This window comes from Homo sapiens, chromosome 1, assembly GCF_000001405.40.
Source record: "Homo sapiens chromosome 1, GRCh38.p14 Primary Assembly".
In the NCBI taxonomy this organism is placed as follows: Eukaryota; Metazoa; Chordata; class Mammalia; order Primates; family Hominidae; genus Homo; species Homo sapiens.
This window is the reverse complement of record NC_000001.11, coordinates 23,942,013-23,959,152: the sequence shown is the minus strand read 5'-3', so window position 1 is coordinate 23,959,152 and position 17,140 is coordinate 23,942,013. Positions and strand designations below refer to the sequence as shown.

At 42.6% G+C, this 17,140-nt stretch overlaps 1 long non-coding RNA gene and 1 pseudogene across 1 annotated transcript, besides 4 other annotated features; both read left to right on the top strand.

The window, feature by feature from the left end:
- Nucleotides 49–148: a silencer, noted in NCBI's record as "silent region_429". NCBI's record gives its function as "represses an Ori minimal core promoter by ATAC-STARR-seq in GM12878 lymphoblastoid cells {active_cell/tissue: GM12878}" and the evidence as "EXISTENCE:reporter gene assay evidence [ECO:0000049][PMID:35858748]".
- Nucleotides 229–288: an enhancer, noted in NCBI's record as "active region_385". NCBI's record gives its function as "activates an Ori minimal core promoter by ATAC-STARR-seq in GM12878 lymphoblastoid cells {active_cell/tissue: GM12878}" and the evidence as "EXISTENCE:reporter gene assay evidence [ECO:0000049][PMID:35858748]".
- Nucleotides 467–1,095: an enhancer, noted in NCBI's record as "H3K4me1 hESC enhancer chr1:24284548-24285176 (GRCh37/hg19 assembly coordinates)". NCBI's record gives its function as "activates a minimal SCP1, AML or CMV promoter by ChIP-STARR-seq in naive H9 embryonic stem cells {active_cell/tissue: H9 hESC(naive)}" and the evidence as "EXISTENCE:reporter gene assay evidence [ECO:0000049][PMID:30033119]".
- Nucleotides 1,039–10,344, top strand: LOC124903877 (uncharacterized). Its single transcript, XR_007065541.1, has 4 exons — nucleotides 1,039–1,051; nucleotides 2,635–2,637; nucleotides 6,077–6,083; nucleotides 10,268–10,344. It is a non-coding gene; the product is annotated as an uncharacterized LOC124903877 (long non-coding RNA).
- Nucleotides 9,491–9,711: a silencer, noted in NCBI's record as "fragment chr1:24275932-24276152 (GRCh37/hg19 assembly coordinates)". NCBI's record gives its function as "represses an EF-1alpha promoter that drives an FKBP-Casp9 reporter gene in an ReSE screen in K562 erythroleukemia cells {active_cell/tissue: K562}" and the evidence as "EXISTENCE:reporter gene assay evidence [ECO:0000049][PMID:32094911]".
- H3P1 (H3 histone pseudogene 1) lies at nucleotides 9,770–10,137 on the top strand (annotated as a pseudogene).
- Nucleotides 10,345–17,140: the final 6,796 nt, after the last annotated feature.

Here is a 17,140-nt window from a genome sequence, read left to right as displayed (position 1 = left end):
CGCGCCGTGTTACCGTTTCCTGTGGCTGCAGCTCTCCCCACCCACACACCCTCGAGGGCCACAACCGGTTAGGTTTTGTTTCTCTGAGCACAGCGCCTTCGCGCGTTGTAAGTGCACAGTAAGTTTGCTGAAAGAATGAGGACTGCTCTCCTCCCCTTTCTGCCCCACTTGTAAGTGAAAAAGGGGAAGAAAGAGAATATTGTTCAGTTGATTATGCCAGCCAGATGCAGGTAAGGGGAAAATGGCAATTTCTTTGGAGTAAATGTATAAGTAACCCAATGTGAATCTTTTAAAAGAGCACTAATTTCAATGAGCGTGAATAATTCTGGGCCAAACGGTACAAAATCAGTCTCATTCACAGTTTGTTCGTGTATACACATATATACCCAAGTTTACGTTACAGAATTTATATTTACCAACTTTTTATAAATCTCATGTAATTCGTTATTTTTGAGACGGAGTCTCCTTCTGTCGCCCAGGCTGGAGTGCAGTGGCACAATCTCGGCTCACTGCAACCTCCGCCTCCTGGGCTCAAGCGATTCTCCTGCCTCAGCCTCCTGAGTAGTTGGGATTACAGGCGCCTGCCACCACACCCTCCTAATTTTTGTATTTTTAGTAGAGACAGGATTTCATCATGTTGGCCAGGCTGGTCTCAAACTCCTAACCTCACGTGATCCGCCCGTCTCAGCCACTCAAAGTGCTGGGATTACAGGCGTGAGCCACCACACCCGGCCTGTATTTCGTTTTTTAATCTTCAATTTTTTGCCACCGTTATCCCCCACTTCCCAATCCAACCCAAATTCCTATATTCTAGCCATTGGATCTTAAGAAAAGTTACTGCATCTTACGGGATGCAGTTTGTTAATCTAATTTGATAAAAGAGGTATTTTTGAGCATAGGGACTTTCTGATGCTAATCATATTCAAATAAGAAGTATGTGGTAAACCAACAGGTGTCTTAGTGAAAGTGTAATCTGTTTTCCAAACATTCAAGAAGTTTGCTTAGACGTCTAGCCAGATAATAGCCAGCTGTATTTAATGAATTTTTAATGGTGTCACTTTAAAAAACAAAAAACAAACAAAAAAACACTTCCGTGGCTCCAAATTGTGATACGGAATAAAATCTAAACTCTAAACGTTTAGAAAATTATTCAAAGCCATTGCAGTCTAGAGTTAGTCTTTTCATGGCAGGGCATGGCTCACACCTGTAATCTCAGCAATTTGGGAGGCCGAGGCAGGAGGATCACTTGAGCGCGGGAGTTTGAGACCAGCCTGGGCAACATGGCAAAACCCCATCTCTACAAATAACAATTAGCTGGGCATGGTGGCACACGCCTGTAGTCCCAGCTACCTGAGAGACTAAGGTGGGAGAATCACCCGAGCCCAGGAAGTAGAGGCTGCAGTGAGCTGCGATCACAACACTGCACTCCTGGGTGAGAGTAAGACACTGTCTCAAAAAAAAAAAAAAAAAATTCATCTCTTCAGCCACTCTGAATTTTATCTGCATAAACGCACACATAACATTGGAAATGTATAAACCCACACAGAGTATCCTTACTCTGCCCCCTACCCTGTGCTAAATTTTTTTTTCTTACATCATTTCATTTAATCCTCACAATAATGTTGTGAGGTAGGAGCTGTTTTCATCCGCACTGTACAGATGAAGGCTCAGACGGTTTCGAGTTGAAAGCCAGGTACTAGGATTCAAGAGGCCAGGCTGCAGGTTGCCTGCAGCATCTGTGCTCTCCAGCACCTAAAAGGTTTTTTGCTCAGAGCAGACACTGACTGTTGACTGGGCTGCCGGGGCTGTTCGGGCAACAAGAAGCCTCCATCCTACCATCTGGCAGAACCAGTTTCTTTGCCAGAAGGTCAGAGTCGAGATGCCCTTGGGGAAAGCACTGTTAAAGCTTTTACTGCGTCCCAGACTCCCAGCACCCTCTCAGGCTAGCTCCAGCCTCATCATTCATTAGTATTTACCAAGTGCCCGCAACAGCTCAGAACTAGAGAGGAGAAGTTAAAATAATACCTTTTTTGGGACATCTGATACAGCCTCTGCCAGAACCATATGGTCTTTAAACTCAGCTCCACCAGCACAATCCTATTAGCAGTTCTCAATTCAAATAGGAAAATGTTGATGCCGACAAACAGCTCTCAGGATACAGCTCACCTAAACTGGAAGCCAAATGCATAATAAATACATGGATGTTTAATACAAAATATTTAGCAAAGATTTATCTGGTGCCTACTTTGTGCCAGGCACTATGCCACGCTCTGGGGATACAGCAGTGAAGGAGGCTCCATCCTGGCCCTAAAGGAACCCAAAAGCTGTTTCCTTTACAATTTACCAGAGAGGGAAACTAGTGTCTGGGAAGATTTATTCCCTCCCTTCTTCCCCTGAGAGTCAAGGACAGGCAAGGCCAAAATCAGCCTGCTAACCTCACTCAGGAGGTGCAGGTAACAAACATTGTTACTGGACCCTGCAAATAAAGTAGAAAAGGAGGGGGACTCTCACAACTTGCTGAAATTTTTTCACTGGAGGATCTGTTTTGAGCTATGTATCAGTGGCAACCAAAATCAATGAAATCATTAGGAAAACATTATCTACCTAATCTGTAAGTAGAGGTGGAGCAAAAAGCAAGTGTTTCTGGGCCGGGCACAGTGGCTCACGCCTGTAGTCCCAACACTTTGGGAGGCCGAGGTGGGCAGATCACGTGAGGTCAGGAGTTCGAGACCAGCCTGGCTAACTTGGTGAAACACTGTTTCTACTAAAAATACAAAAAATTAGCTGGACGTGTGGCGCATGCCTGTAATCCCAGCTACTTGGGAGGCTGAGGCAGGAGAATCGCTTGACCCCGGGAGGCAGAGGTTGCAGTGAGCCGAGATCGCGCCATTGCACTCCAGTTTGGGCAACAACAGCAGAACTCTGTCTCAAAAAAAAAAAAAAGAAAGTGTTTCTGAAAGCCCAGCTTTGGGGGAGAGACAGGTTGTAGGCTGAGGCATACAACTGCACCAGTGCCGGGGTAGTTGGAGAAATCACCCAGGTTTGCCATGGCTTTGGAATAAGTATATAGTAGAATCGACTGGCCTTCAGGCTGAGTCTCAGTTTCTTCATCTGTAGAATGGCAATCCTCCCTGTCTTGTAGAGCTCATGGTAGGAGCCAATGAAATAATAAATGTAAAAGCACTTTTATGATGTAGATTTAGAATACACCTGTAATTCCAACACTTTGGGAGGCAGAGGCGGGAGGATCACTTGAGCCCAGGAGTTCAGGACCAGCCTGGGCAACATGGTGAAACCCCATCTCTACAAAAATTACAGAAATTAGCTGGGAGTGGGAGGTGGTGTGCCCCTGTGGTCCCAGCTACTTGAGAGGCGGAAGTGGGAGAATTCCTTGAGCCCAGGATGTCGAGACTGCAGTGAGCCATGATCACACCACTATACTCCAGCCTGGGCAACAGAGCAAGACCCTGTCTCAAAAATAAACAGAACATGCTAAAAACGTTAGGTACTTTAATATTATCCCCCAACTCCACCCCCGCCCTAGCGAGTCCATTTCAAAACAAAAGCTGGTTTGGTTCTTTTTCTTCTTTAAGCTCATATATGAAATCAGATGGTCAACTTTGAATGTTTTTGCAGGTCTGTCCGCTCAGGGCTTAATTCAGTTTGAAGAAGCAAGCAAATTCTTAGAACCTGCCAGAAGAGTGAAATGGAACACCTGCCCACTGTTTCGATGTGCCTCAGAGCTCTGATCTTGTTGCCAAACTGATTGCAAAACACACACCCCTCCCCACACCATGAATTCATTTCCTGGGGAAGCATCTGCTGCCTCCCTGCTTGCTCAGACATTCCTGAGAAGTGTCAAATCTGTTCTTAACCATTGCAGCCATTTTGGTCTAATTACTAAACGGGGCACAGGAAGTCAATGATGAACTCCCACGCCTCCTGTCGACGCTGATCCAGGGGTCCAACCTTCAAGACCCTTAAAGGATTCTGATGCCCAGACCCCATCCCAGAATCAGAATCTTTGAGCACGGGGCTGCGGCTATTCCAATCCAGTTGATTCCAATGTCTCACTCCAGTTGAGAATCACTGCTTTCAGTTTTGCTAAGGGCAATCCCCTGGTGTGGAGGCATGTTTATGAAGGAGACCCCCTTTGTCCTATGTAATTCTCAAAGTTGGTGATAACACCAAATAACCCCAACAAGTCAGAAACTAGCTCCGGAACACCCAGAGTTGTTTAGATTAGCTTTTAAAAGTGATTTTCACACAGGTGGACTCCCAAGCTCGGCCATGGGGTTCCTTGCTAGTTTGTTGATCCCAGCCGTCTAATTCTTGGCCCATTCCAGAGTTTTGGCCTCAGTCCCCAGGCCAAAGCTGAACGGAGAGACGGGCAGCGATCTCTCCAATGGCTGAACGGAGAGATGGGCAGCGATCTTGAGAGGAATTTATGAAACAGGCTGAGACTGCTACCTGCATTGATAGGAAGAGGAAATCTGGAACACACCGTGCTCACTCCCCCCAAAATAATGGTATATCGGAGCCATCTATTTACATGTAAGACCATAACAATGCCTGTCCCCCAACTATTCACACCTGTGGCATGAGGAAGAGACACACCATCCCCAGCTCAGAAATAATGGGAGGCTCTAAAGAGAATCAAAGGAGACATGAAACCACTGAAGCTCCCACACAGTGTTTGGTTGACAGTATTCTCTGGATTCCTGTAAAACATGCTTGCTTTATCACTTTCTACGTTTTATTTGTGTTTGTTTGTGTTTTTTTGTTTTTTTTTTTTGAGATGGAGTCTTGTTCTGTCACCCAAGCTGGAGTGCAGTGGCGCAATCTCGGCTCACTGCAACCTCTGCCTCCTGGGTTCAAGCGATTCTCCTGCCTCAGCCTCCCGAGTAGCTGGGATTACAGACGCCTGCCATTACACCCTGCTAATTTTTATTTATTTATTTATTTATTTATTTATTTTGAGACAGAGTCTCACTCTGTGGCCCAGGCTGGAGTGCAGTGGCACAATCTCAGCTCATCCACCTCTCAGACTCAAGCGATTCTCCTGCCTCAGCCTCCCAAGTAGCTGGGATTACAGGTGTGTACCACCACGCCTGGCTAACTTTTTAGATTTTTGGTAGAGACAGGGTTTTACCACGCTGGCCAGGCTGGTCTTGAACTCCTGACCTCAAGTGATCCGCCTGCCTCAGCCTCCCAAAGTGCTGGGATTACAGGCATGAGCCACTGTGCCTGGCCTAATTTTTGTATTTTTAATAGAGATGGGGTTTCACCATGTTGGCCAGGCTGGTCTTGAACTCCTAACTTCAAGTGATCCGCCTGCCTTGGCCTCCCAAAGTGCTGGGATTGCAGGCGTGAGCCACCGCACCCGGTCCTGTCAGCATTTTCACAGGTGAAAAACTGAGGCTCAGCGCCACCGCGCCCCGCCTCTACTTTGTATTTTAATAGCCCCTAGCATTTTTAACATCTTCTACACATCTTTTTAACATATTCTAAATCTACGTCATCCAAGTGCTTTCGCTTTATTTCATTCAATCCTACCATGAGCTTTATAAGGTAGGCACAGTTGCTGCTCTAAAGATAAAGAAACTGAGGTTGAGAGAGACTCGTTCACCTCTGCAACAAAGGTCTTGTATTTTAAACATTTTCTTTGGAGTTTTGTCTCATTAATAACACATTAACTATAGAAAAGGCAGATAAAAAATAAGTAGAATTCACTCAACATCTCACTTCCCAGAAGTAAGCATTGTGAACGCTTGGAAAGTATGTCCTTCCAGTCTTTTTTCTATACCAGGAGACAGTGTGAGTCGTGGTGGGGGCATAGACACCAAAACCTGCTCAGCATCACACCTTAGCTCTGTGGCTTTCTAGCATATGACTGACTTTGGCAGGTTGTTTAACTTCTCCGTGCTGTAGTTTCCCCATCTGTGAACTGGGGATAATAACAATACCTAACATTTGTGTAATGATTAAGTAAGTCAACATCTCTGCAGTACTTAGAACAGTGCCTGCCACATAGAAAGCCCTTAGTTACTGAGCTTTTTTTTTCCTTTTTACAAAGATGAAAAGTGGTATATATTCTATTGTTACCTTTTTTCACTTTTTTTTTTTTTTTTTTTTTTTTTTTGAGGCAGAGTCTAGCTCTGTTGCCCAGACTGGAGTACAGTGGCATGATCTCAACTCACTGCAACCTCCACTTCTCAGGTTCAAGTGATTGTCCTGCCTCAGCCTCCTGAGTAGCTAGGATTACAGGCATGTGCCACCACGCCCAGCTAATTTTTGTATTTTTAGTAGAGACGACGTTTCTCCATATTGGCCAGGCTGGTCTTGAACGCCTGGGCCTCATGTGATCCACCCACCTTGGCCTCCCAAAGTGCTGGGATTACAGGTGTGAGCCACCACGCCCGCCCCTTTTTTCACTTTTTAAACTCAGGATATTGTGAGCATGTTTCCATGTATATATACATTCATTGTTAGCCATATTTTATGTTATGACCATCTTTGATTAATTTACTATTCTCCACTGTTATTTCCAATTTTTTGCTATTATATGCTGAGTTGGATGTCCCTATAAATAAATCTTCATTTCTGTAAATAAATTTCCTTTAAATAAATTCTTAGGGGTGAAAGTACTAGGTCACAAGGTAAATATACAGGTAAGACTTTTGATACATATTACCAAATACTTTCCAGAAATTATGTATCCGTGTATGCCCCCACCATCAGGCTAAAAGTCAGTCCCAGGCTTCTGGCTTTGAGGATACTGTTCGCTGTCCTTATTGTTTATAGCTGCTTTCCTGACATTGGATCTGTAAGAGGAGTTGGTGAATTTACGTTGGTGAATTTCTTTGTTTTTTTGAGACGGAGTTTCACTCTTGTTGCCCAGGCTGGAGTGCAATGGCACAATCTCGGCTCACTGCAACCTCTACCTCCTGGGTTCAAGCGATTCTCCTGCCTCAGCCTCCCAAGTAGCTGGGATTACAGGCATGTGCCATGACGCCCAGCATATTTTTTGTATTTAGTAGAGACAGGATTTCACCATGTTAGTCGGGCTGGTCTTGATCTCCTGACCTCAGGTGACCCACCCACCTCGGCCTCCTAAAGTGTTGGGATTATAGGCATGAGCCACCTCGCCTGGCGGTGAATTTCTTTTGACAGGAAATAGTCAAAAGAATTTTAAAAGGTTTTTTTAAAGATCACGTGTTACGTATGGCCTTTGTACAAAGTATGCCTGTGGGACAGCTTTTTCTGGGGAACATGGAGCTAATGAGGTCCACTTATTCGTCACAGCCTCCATAGCTGTCAATTTGGCAGTTAATGAGCTACAAACGTCTGGAATTTCCACTGAGTCAGGCAAGCCAGTGTTTGTTCTCTGGCTGATGGCTTGGGTTTGGAAAGAGACTATGAGTCAAGCTTCCATGGCCCGAGAGCCTGGATTTTGCCACAGCAGAAAAAAAAAAGAACAGATTGACATAGTCTTAACACATGATTAAACTGCTAGGTGACACCGTGGCATGACTTCCACTCTTGGGTAGAGCAGGCAACAAAGGAGTCGCCATTCGCCCACAGTTTCCAAGGCAAAAGGAGGTGAAGTAACTTGCTCAAGTTCAGTCTGATCTCTTGATTCCAGTTCACCGTGATTGAATATTTATACCATCTCCTTGCCTTTGACTGTTATATCTTTATTTTGTTTTGTTTTAACTGTTACTTATGCAATTCAAAGGTATGATACTTTGCATATTACAAATGTGTTGCACATTAAATAATAACAATAAGTATCGAGCACTCTACTATGAGCAAGGTACACTGTCCTAAGCAATTTAAAAAAAAAATTTTTTTTTTTTAAATAGGATCTCACTCTGTCACCCAGGTTGGAGTGCAGTGGTGAGATCACGGCTCACTGCAGCATTAACCTCCTGGGCTCAAGCAATCCTCCTGCCTCAGCCTCCCGAGTAGCTGGGACAACAGGTGTATGCCACCGTGCCCGGCTAATTTTTGTATTTTCTGTAGAGACAGGGTTTCGTCATGTTGCCCAGGCTGGTCTTGAACTCCTAGGCTCTAGTGATCCACCTGCCTCAGCCCCTCAAAGTGCTGGGATTACAGGCATGAGCCATTGAATCGGCCTGTCCTAAACAATTGATACGCATTCTTATTTAATTCTCATCACAACCTACTGAGGTCACTAGTAGTACTGCCTCATTAAATGGATGAGTAAACTGAGATTCAAAGAGGTAGGCTAAGTCATTTGCCCAAAGTCACATACCTCGAACTTGAACCTGGGTCAGCCTGATGCCAAAACCTGCTCTTAGCCACTCTGCTACACCGATCTAGTCTTCAGGGTCCATATTGCTAGGAAGCGCTCGGAATACAGTATGCTCTAAATGGGAGGTAGCCACCCTTCTGGTTCCATGCTATCATTGGCCAGTAAAATTGCACGTATATTCTCATTGCCGATTAGAAAAAAATAAGAAAAAAAAACTAGAGTATTTATAGATCCTCATGTGTTTTGTTTCTTTGATTGATTGTTTGTTTGTTTGTTTGTGAGACAGGGTTTCACTCCTATTACCCAGGCTGGAGTGCAATGGTGCGATCTCGGCTCACTGCAACCTCTGCCTCCTGGGCTCAAGTGATCTGCCTGCCTCAGCCTCCCAAAGTGCTGGGATTTCAGGTGTGAGCCACCTGCCTGGCTAGAGTTATTTTCAAAGCCCACAAGTGTGGCCCCTGCAATGGCAGTCTTACAGCAAGATATTGTACTAAGAGGCAGAAGCTGAGGGAGCAATCAGCCTAAGGAGAAGCATTGCCCACTGTGAAGGAATTGCAGCCGAGAGAGCTCATGAAGAGAATTTGCTGAAGAACAAGTGCCATGAGAGAAAGAGGCAGCTTTAGCTATCTGTCAGGCCAGGGAAATGTCACAAGAGTTCTAGTCAAGTAGGAACTTTCTTACCGTCTTCTGCCCTTCTTCCTCCCTGATTACAACCCTTAACTATAGTTAAGGCCAGACATGGTGGCTCACACCTGTAATCCCAGAAATCTAGGAGGCCAAGGCAGGTGGATGACTTGAGGTCAGGAGTTCGAGACCACCCTGGCCAACATGGTGAAACCCCGTCTCTACTAAAAATACAAAAATTAGCCGGGCGTGGTGGTGCGCACCTGTAATTCCAGCCACTCTGGAGGCTGAGGCAGGAAAAAAAAATCACTTGAAACCAGGAGGCAAAGGTTTCAGTGAGCTAAGATTGTGCCACTGCTCTCCAGCCTGAGCAACAGAGTGAGACCCTGCTTTTTAAAAAAAACAAAAACAAAAAACAGGGCAGGCGTGGTAGCTCATGCCTGTAATCCCAGAACTTTGGGAGGCCGAGGTAGGTGGATCACTTGAGATCAGGAGTTCAAGACCAGCTTGGCCAACATGGTGAAACCCGGTCTCTACTAAAAATACAAAAATTAGCCAGGCCTGGTGGCGTGCACCTGTAATCCCAGCTACTCGGGAGGCTGAGGCAGGAGAACTGCTTGGACCCAGGAGGTGGAGGTTGCAGTGAGCCGAGATTGCACCACTGCACTCCATCCTGGGTGACAGAGTGAGACTATCTAAAAAAATTAAATAAATTAAAAACAAAAATTTTTTTTAATTGTGTTCACAGCCGCCGCCGCTCCACTGTCACTCTCCAAGGCCAGCGCCACCTCTCACTCACCGAGCTCCAGCCGAAGGAGAAGGGGGGTAAGTAAGGAGGTCTCTGTACCATGACTCGTACAAAGCAGTAAAGAACCCAGGAAGCAACTGGCTACGAAAGCCGCTCGCAAAAGTGCGCCCTCTACTGGAGGGGTGAAGAAACCTCATCGTTACAGGCCTGGTACTGTGACACTCGGTGATATTAGACATTATCAGAAGTCCACTGAACTTCTGATTCGCAAACTTCCCTTCTAGGGTCTGGTGCGAGAAATCGCTTAGCACTTTAAAACAGATCTGCGCTTTCAGAGCTCAGCTGTCGGTACTTTGCAGGAGGCAGGTGAGGATTATCTGGTTGGCCTTTTTGAAGACAACAACCTGTGTGCTATCCATGCCAAACGTGTAACAATTATGCCAAAAGACATGCAGCTAGCACGCCGCATACGTGGAGAACGTGCTTAAGAATCCACTATGATGGGAATCATTTCATTCTCAAAAAAAAAAAATTCTCTTCTTCCTGTTATTGGTAGTTCTGAACATTAGATATTTTTTTCCCATGGGGTCAAAAGGTACCTAGTATATGATTGCGAGTGGAAAAATAGGGGACAGAAATCAGGTATTGGCAGTTTTTCCATTTTCGTTTGTGTGTGAATTTTTAATATGAATGCAGAAACATAAAGCATTAATGCAAGTTAAAATGTTTCAGTGAACAAGTTTCAGTGGTTCAACTTTACAATAATTGCAAATAAACCTGTTAAATTTTTCTGGACAATGTCAGCATTTGGGTTTTTTTAAAACAAGTACATTTTTTTTTTTTTGGAGACGGAGTCTTGCTCTGTCACCCAGGCTGGAGTGCAGTGGCGCAATCTTGGCTCACTGCAAGCTCCGCCTCCCGGGTTCACGCCACTCTCCTGCCTCAGCCTCCCGAGTAGCCGGGACTACAGGCGCCTGCCACCACGCCCAGCTAATTTTTTGTATTTTTAGTAGAGAGGGGGTTTCACCGTGTTAGCCAGGATGGTCTCGATCTCCTGACCGCGCGATCCACCTGTCTCGGCCTCCCAAAGTGCTGGGATTACAGGCGTGAGCCACCGCGCCCGGCCTAAAAGAAGTACATTTCTTATTGATGGCAACTAAATGGTGTTTGTAGCATTTTTGTCATATAGTGGATTCCATCCATTCACTATATTTTCTACCCGAGTTGTCCTACATGCAAGTACATATGTTTAACATTGTCTGTCTTCTGTGCTGTTCCTGTAAGTTTTCTATTAAAATACATAAAAAATTTTTTAAGTACTTAGAGACAAATGAAAATGAAATGACAACATATCAAAACTTATAGGATGCAATGAAAATAGTGCTCATAGGAAAATTTATAGCTGTAAGCGCTTATATTAAAAAACAAGAAATATCTCAGATCAACAACTTAATTTTACAACTTAAGGAACTAGGAAAAGAAAAGCTAAACCCAAAACTAGCAGATGGAAAGAAATAATAAAAATTAAAGCAGAGATGAATGAAATAGAGAATTGAAAAATCATAGATGCCAGGCACATTGGCTCACACCTATAATCCCAGCACTTTATAAGGCCGAGGTGAGAGGATGACTTGAGCTCAGCAGTTCAAGATCAGCCTAGGCAACATAGACCTTGTCTCTACTAAAATAATAATAATAAATAAATAAAATTTAAAAAAGGAAAAAGAAAAAGAAAAATAATAGAGAAAAATTTTAAACCCAGAGTTGGTTCTTCAAAAAGATTAACAAAATAGGCAAATCTTTAGCTAGATTGGCTAAAAAAAAAAGAGAAGACTCAAATTACTAAAATCAGAAGTGAAAGTGGGCACAAATGAAAAGGATTATAAGAGAATACTATGAATAATTATACACAGTATACATTGAATAATTATACACAGAATACTATGAATAATTATACACACATCTATACATTAGATGAAATGGATGAATTCCTAGAAACACAAAACCTACTAATACTGAATCATGAAGAAATAGAAAATATGAATAGACCTATAACTAATAATGAGATTTAATCAGTAATAGAAAATCTCCTGACCAAAAAAAAAAAAAAATCTCCTGGCAAAGAAAAGCCCTGGACCTGAGGGCTTCACTTATGAATTCTATCAAATGTTTAAAGAATTAACACCAACCCTTCTCAACCTTTCAAAAAAATGGAAGAAGGAAACACTTCCTAACAAATGCTATGAGGCCAGCATTACTCTGATACTGAAGACACACAAAGATACCACAAGAAAAGAGAACTGTGAACCAGTATCCCTTATGAACATAGATACAATAGCCCTTAACAAAATACAATACTATCAAGCTGAATTCAACAGTATATTAAAAGGATTATTTATACACATGACCAAGTAGGATTTATTCCTGGAATGCAAAGATAGTTTAACATATGAAAATCAATCAAAGTAATATACCACATTAATAGGTTGAAGGGGAAAAAATTCCACATGATTAGCTCAATTGATGCAGAGAAAGCATTTGAAAAAATTCAACATTTTTTCATTATAAAAACACTCAAGAAACTAGGAACAGAAGAAAATACCTCAACATAATAAAAGCCATATATGAAATACAGCCAACATCATACTCCCTGGTGAAAGACTGAAATAAGGCAAGAATGCCTGCTTTCACCACTTCTGTTCAACGTAAAACTGAAAGTCCTAGCCAAAGCAATTAGTCAAGAAAAAGAAAAAAAGGGATTGAAATTGGAAAAGAAGAAGTAAAATTCTCTCCATTTGCAGATGGTATAATCTTATATGTGGAAATGCATAAAGATCACACACAGACACACAACTGTTCAAACTATCTGAAAATTTTGGCAAAGTAGCAGGGTACAAAGTCAACATACAAAGGTCAGTTGTTGCATTTCTAGACACTAACGATTAATAATCTGAAAAAGAAATTAAGAAAACAATTCCATTTATAATAGCATCAAAAAGAATAAAATACTTAGGAGTTAACCAAGGTGAGAGACTTATACCATGAGAAATAAAAAACATTACTGAAAGAAATCAAAGACATAGGTAAGTGGAAAGACATCATAGATTAGAGAAGACTTAATATTGTTAAGATGTCAATACTATTCAAAACATTCTATAGATTCAATGCAATCCCTATCAAAATCCCAACATTTTTTACAGAAATAGAAAAATCCACCCTAAAATTCATAAGGAATTTCAAGAGACCTTGAATAGCCAAATCAACCTTTAAAAAGAAGACCAAAATTGGACATCCCACATTTCCTGATTTCAAAACTCACTACAAAGCTACAGTAATTAAAATAGTATGGTACTGGCATAAAGACAGACATATAGACCAATAGCACAGAATAAAGAGCCCAGAAATAAGCCCTCACATACATGGTATAATAATTTTTGTCAAAGATGCCAAAATCATTCAATGGAGAAAGGACAATCTTTTCAACAAATGGGGCTAGGAAAACTGGATGTAAAATACCAAAGAATGAAGTTAGACCCTTACCTAACATCATATGTGAAAATTAACTCAAAATGGATCAAAGACCTAAATGTAAGAGATAAAACTATAAAACTTAAAAGAAAACATAGGGCAAAAGCTTCATGACATTGGATTTGGCAATAATTTCTTGGATTATAGCACCAAAGGCACAGGTAACAAAAGAAAAAATGGACAAATGGGACTACATGAAAATCAAAAACTTTTGTGCATCAAAGAACACTATCAGCCGGGCAAAGTGGCTCACGCCTGTAATCCCGCACTTTGGGAGAACAAGGCAGACGGATCATGAGGTCAGGAGTCCGAGACCAGCCTTGCCAACATAATGAAACCGCATCTCTACTAAAAATACAAAAATTGGCCGGGCATTGTGGCACAAACCTGTAGTCCCAGATACTTGGGAGGCTGAGGCAGGAGAATCGCTTGAATCCGGGAGGCAGAGGTTGTAGTGAGCCAAGATCACACCACTGCACTCCAGCTTGGGCAACTGAGTGAGACTTTGTCTCAAAAAAAAAAAGGACATTATCAAACAGAGGGAAGAGGAAAATTATGGAATGAGAGAAAACATTTGCAAATCATATATCTGATAAGGGAGTAATATCCAGAATTTATAAATAGCTCCTAAAACTCAACAAAAGAAATAAACTAATTCAAAAATGGGCAAAGAGCTGGGTGTAGTGGCTTATGCCTGTAATCCCAGCACTTTGGGAGGCTGAGATAGAAGGATCACTTAAACCTAGGAGTTCAAGACCAGCCCTGGCAACGCAGTGAGAACCCCATCTCTATAAAAAAATTAAAAGTTAGCTAGATGTGGTATGCATGCCTGTATTCCCAACTACTTGAGAGGCTGACATGGGAGGATCGCTTGAGCCCAGGAGTTCAAGGTTGCGGTGAGCTATTATCATTGCGCTGCACTCCAGCCAGGGTGAAAAAGCAAGACTCTGTCTCTTTAAAAAAAATAAAGAAAAGTGCAAAGGGCTTGAATGGACGTTTATCCAAAGAAGATATACAAATGCCAATAAGCACATGAAAAGATGCTCAATAACACTAATCATGAGGGAAATGTAAATCAAAACCACAATGAGGTACCACCCAACACCCATTAGGATGCTACTATCCAAAACAAAAAACAGAAAATAACAAGTATCGGCAAGGATGTGGAAAAATTGCAATTTCTGTGCAGTATTGGTGGGGATGTAAATTGGTACGATTGCTGTGGAAAATAGTATGGCAGTTCCTCAAAAACTTAAAAACAGAATTACCATATGAGCTAGCGATTCCACTTCTGGGTATGGAATCGGAAAACAGGGTCTCAGATAATTGCATACCCATGTTCAAAGCATTATTCACAATAGCTAAAGCATGGAAGCAACCCAAGTGTCCATCCATGGATGAATGGATAAGCAAAATGTATAATATACTTACAATGGAGTATTATTCAGTCTTAAAAAGTTAGGAAATCTTGACACATGATACAACATAAATGAACCTTAAGGACATTATGCTAAGTGAAATAAGCCAATTACAAATGACAAATACTGTATGATTCCACTTACATGAGGTTTCTTGAGTAGTCAAATTTAAAGAGACAGAAAGTAGAACTTCAGTGGTTGCAGGGGCTGAGAGGAGAGGAAATGAGGAGTTATTATTTAATGGGTACAGAATTTCAGTTTTGCAGGATAAAAAGAGTCCTGGAGATGGATGGTGATGATGGTTGCACAAGAATACGAATGTACTTAATTTCATTAAACTGTACATTTATAAATGGTTAAGTTGGTAAATTTTACGTTATGTGTATTTACAAATGAGGAAGAAGAAGAAGTAGGCCGAGAGTGGTGGCTCACACTTGTAATCCCAGAACATTGGGAGCCTGAGGCAAGAGGATTGCTTGAGTCCAGGAGTTCAAGACCAGCCTGGGCAACATAGTCAAACCCTGTCTTTACAAAAAATAAAAAATTAGCCAGGCGGCCGGGCTCAGTGGCTCACACCTGCAATCCCAGCACTTTGTGAGGCCGAGGGTGGGGGGGTAGATCACCTAAGGTCGGGAGTTCGAGACCAGCCTGACCGACGTGGAGAAACCCAATCTCTACTAAAAATACAAAATTAGCCAGGCATGGTGGCTCATGCCTGTAATCTCAGCTACTCAGGAGGCTGAGGCAGGAGAATCACTTGAACCCAGGAGGTAGAGGTTGCCATGAGCCGAGGTCACACTATTGCACTCCAGCCTGGGCCACAAGAACAAAACTCCGTCTAAAAAAAAAAAAATTTAGCCAAGCATGGTGGTGCACACCTATAGTCCTAGCTACTCAGGAGGCTGAGATGGGAAATTCACTTGAGCCTGGGAGGTTGAGGCTGCCGTGAGCTCTGATGGTGCCACTGCACTTCAGCCTGAGCAACAGAGCAAGACCCTGTCTAAAAAAAAAAAAAGAAGAAGTAAAAAAAGTAAAATAAAGGTATTTCTTTATACCATGGATTTTGTTTCAACATAGTCATTTGTCTAAATATTTAAATAAGAAAGCTAATATTTAAAATAATAAAAGATGTTCTATCTTTCTACCTTGACAAATTTACATTCACAACTAAATTAACCCCAACCTTTTATGTCATTTGGATGCAGTTGCCTTTTGTTTCGAGGTCATGGAGCAAAAGATGTGCAGAAGCATTTCCCTGGGGTGTGAACAGTGTTAGTCCTAAGAATGGCTGTCAAGCGTTACAGGTTGTGTGGTGCCAGCACTGAGTAGCAGACATGCCCATATGTTCTTGTCATGTGCAGTAACCCGTGTAGCCACACAGTCCTTTGACCCCTATGAACCCGTGGCTGGAAGATTTCAGTTTATTTAGACTTGCAAGTTTCTTTCTTTATTTTTTTCTTTTTTCCAGACAGAGTCTCACTCTGTCACCCAGGCTGGAGTGCAGTGACATGATCTTGGCTCACTGCAACCTCCGCCTTCAGGGTTCAAGCGATTCTTCTGCCTCAGCCTCCTGAGTAGCTGGAATTACGGGCGTGAGCCACCAAGCCCAGCTAATTTTTTATTTATTTTATTTTTTTTTATTTTTAGTGGAGACGGGTTTTCACCATGTTGACCAGGCTGATCTTGAACTCCTGACCTCAGGTGATCTGCCCGCCTTGGCCTCCCAAAGTGCTGGGATTTACAGGTGTGAGCCACCGCACCCAGCTAGACTAGGAACTTTCATTCTTGTGTTCATTTATTTCAAGATAGAATGATAATTGTCTGTGTCATTAACAGTTATTGTTTGTAATTTGATTCTAATATTTCCTTTTCTTTTTTTTTTTTTTTTGAGATGGAGTTTCACTCTTTTTGCCCATGCTAGAGTGCAATGGCTCAATCTCGTCTCACCACAACCTCTGCCTCCCAGGTTCAAGCGATTCTCCTGCCTTAGCCTCCCAAGTAGCTGGGATTACAGGCATGCACCACCATGCCCGGCTAATTTTGTATTTTTAGTAGAGGCAGGGTTTCTCCATGTTGGTCAGGGTGGTCTTGAACTCCCAACCTGAGGTGATCCGCCCGCCTCGGCCTCCCAAAGTGCTGGGATTACAGGCGTTAGCCACCGTGCCCTGACTAATATTTCACTTTTATCTTATTTAATAAATTAATTTGATGTATGCTTGTGACATGGGGTTCTCTAACCCCAGAGCAAGGGGTTGTGGAGCCCAGAGCAAGGGCCTCTCTTGCCTGATCTCAGGGGTAATATATTTGCTTGTATGTCCTTAAAATCTAATATAATGAAATGTAGATCAACTATGGTATCTAATAGTTCTGTGACAGCTATCTCCACTAGAAGGATCCTGGAGCAGGCATTGACCACATACAAGGACCACAATTGCCACCAAATACTGTGGCTCAGGGTTCTCCTTTTGGCAGCCCTTATCTGGTAAGACCCTGGCAAAGTTGACACTTCAAGCCCTCCCTTCTTCCTTCCTTTTCAAGGATCTG